Source organism: Homo sapiens, chromosome 2 (assembly GCF_000001405.40).
Source record: "Homo sapiens chromosome 2, GRCh38.p14 Primary Assembly".
NCBI classification, from domain to species: Eukaryota; Metazoa; Chordata; class Mammalia; order Primates; family Hominidae; genus Homo; species Homo sapiens.
The window spans coordinates 13984665-13986628 of NC_000002.12; the positions used below are offsets into that span (position 1 = coordinate 13984665).

At 37.9% G+C, this 1964-nt stretch overlaps 1 annotated feature.

Annotated features, from left to right (window-relative positions):
- Window positions 1344-1513: an enhancer, noted in NCBI's record as "experimental_52953 CRE fragment used in MPRA reporter constructs". NCBI's record gives its function as "activates a minimal promoter by MPRAs in K562 erythroleukemia cells, with activity observed for both the introgressed and non-introgressed 2:14126218 variant alleles {active_cell/tissue: K562}" and the evidence as "EXISTENCE:reporter gene assay evidence [ECO:0000049][PMID:34662402]".

Genomic DNA, 1964 nt, shown 5'->3' on the forward strand with positions numbered 1-1964 from the left:
GAACCCCGAGAGCCTCATGCATCATGCTTCCCTCTCCATCTTGTATTCCAGCAATGTAGCCTGCTTGGGCTTCTCTCCTAATTTCAGGTTTTGTTACAATTTCTCATTGGAACTGGATGCCATTGTAAGTCCCAGATCAGTGTATTGGATACTTGATTCCCTAAATTACTGTTAAACATTCCCTCGTCCCAAGGTTTAAACTGGGATTTGTTTTTATAATTGCAAATTGTTCCACATTGCTGGGCTTGAACTAGGAATTAGCCACCAATGGAAAGAAGCAGTTGCTTTCTAGATGCCCTGGAACTATGTATCCTCTTAATCCTACACCATTATCAACACAGCAGGTTATAGGCATCAAACTTGCCTATAGGCTGTGCATTTGTGATTTAAACTTGTGCCTCCTCATTTGATGGGCTGATCTGTCTTCCTGGGAAGTTTCGTGATTATTCTTGTGGGTCTCTTTGGCCTTTTAATATCCATCATGATCTCCTAACATGCCTTTAAGATGTGTTAAGCACACCCTTATTACTCTAACAAACCATGCCCATCATTTAAGTGATTTCAGATAATATACGTAAGATTCTCATACATAACAGTCTAATGTGTGTGTTCCTGGTCAGCAGGTGTGTGTACACAGTGCACTGCTTCCCATAACACATTGAGACAGCCAAACTATCTTCTTCAGAATCTGGCTTCTAAGGTCACTCTACTCGTCTGCATCAAAATACGTCAGGAAAATTTTAATAGGCAAAGCCTGGAAGTTGTGTGTACCTATATTAAATTGTCTATAACAACCCCTCATGGTTAAAGAAGCTGGCAAATGTAGGCTCTGTGAGTGACCAGAAAATGAAACAAAACATAACAAAAGAAAACAAAACAAAAAAAAAACAAACTAACAATAACAACCCTCCCTTCACCATCCCCTCAACAGGAATTGTTGAACAGCAAGTGGCCTCTGTCTGGCACATGATAAAATACAAAAAACACTATAAGAATATGTATGGCACATTACATGACATTAAAATAATAAAGTACTTTAAATTATCTGTAAATCGTGGCAGATAATTAAAGTAGCTTAAAAAGTCCTTTTAGAACAAGGGACAGGTTAAAAAAAAACACCAAGCATAATAATCTTTTATCTGGGTATTTTATTTGTTTATTTATTTTGAGATAGGCTTTTGCTCTGTAACCCCGGCTGGAGTGCAGTGGCCCTATCTTGGCTCACTGCATATTTCGGTTTTTATACTTAGAAAATTTAAAGTGGTAAAACTACAAGAAGACTATAACAAATTCAATTAATTTCAAAAGTTATTACCTTAGTATTGTCTACATGGACGTGGAGGATAAGTACACAAATGATTAACAACTGAGGCACAGCTCAGGGGACTTGTTTTCTAATGTGGAAACTAACGGGTAAAGAACAGGCTGCATTATGAATTCCGAAGGAAATAACACAGGGAGGATAAATGAAAATGAATGTGGAAAGACCTGTGACTTCTTCTGGGATTTAAATAGCCTAGCTTGATTGTCTCCTGGTCCATGCTTATGGCGGCAATTATCTTTGGCATTGTCAATGTGACACTTTCAAGGGTCATATTCTGGTAATGAACTTCTCCGTTTACCGACACGTTTATCAGCACACACATGTCAACATTACAAAATCCCTTCCGTAATCTTCTATTCAAATAAATTACCTGTTCTTTCCAGGGTCAAACACTCATGTCTTTGAGATGAGCAATGATATTAATTTACTGAAAATAACAAATGGATAAACTAGTAAATTGAAATGGGCTCTGGGGAAATGTACAATGCATTAGTGCTGATTAGAGATAGACTCGATTTTTCTCCCTTCTCATCTTCTCAACCTTCCTAGGAAGTCTTACAGTAAGAGAATGCCTTTGAAGTTTACTTCCCACTGTCCGCTTGTACCATGAATAAGTCTGTGGGATCCTTCCATGATTCAT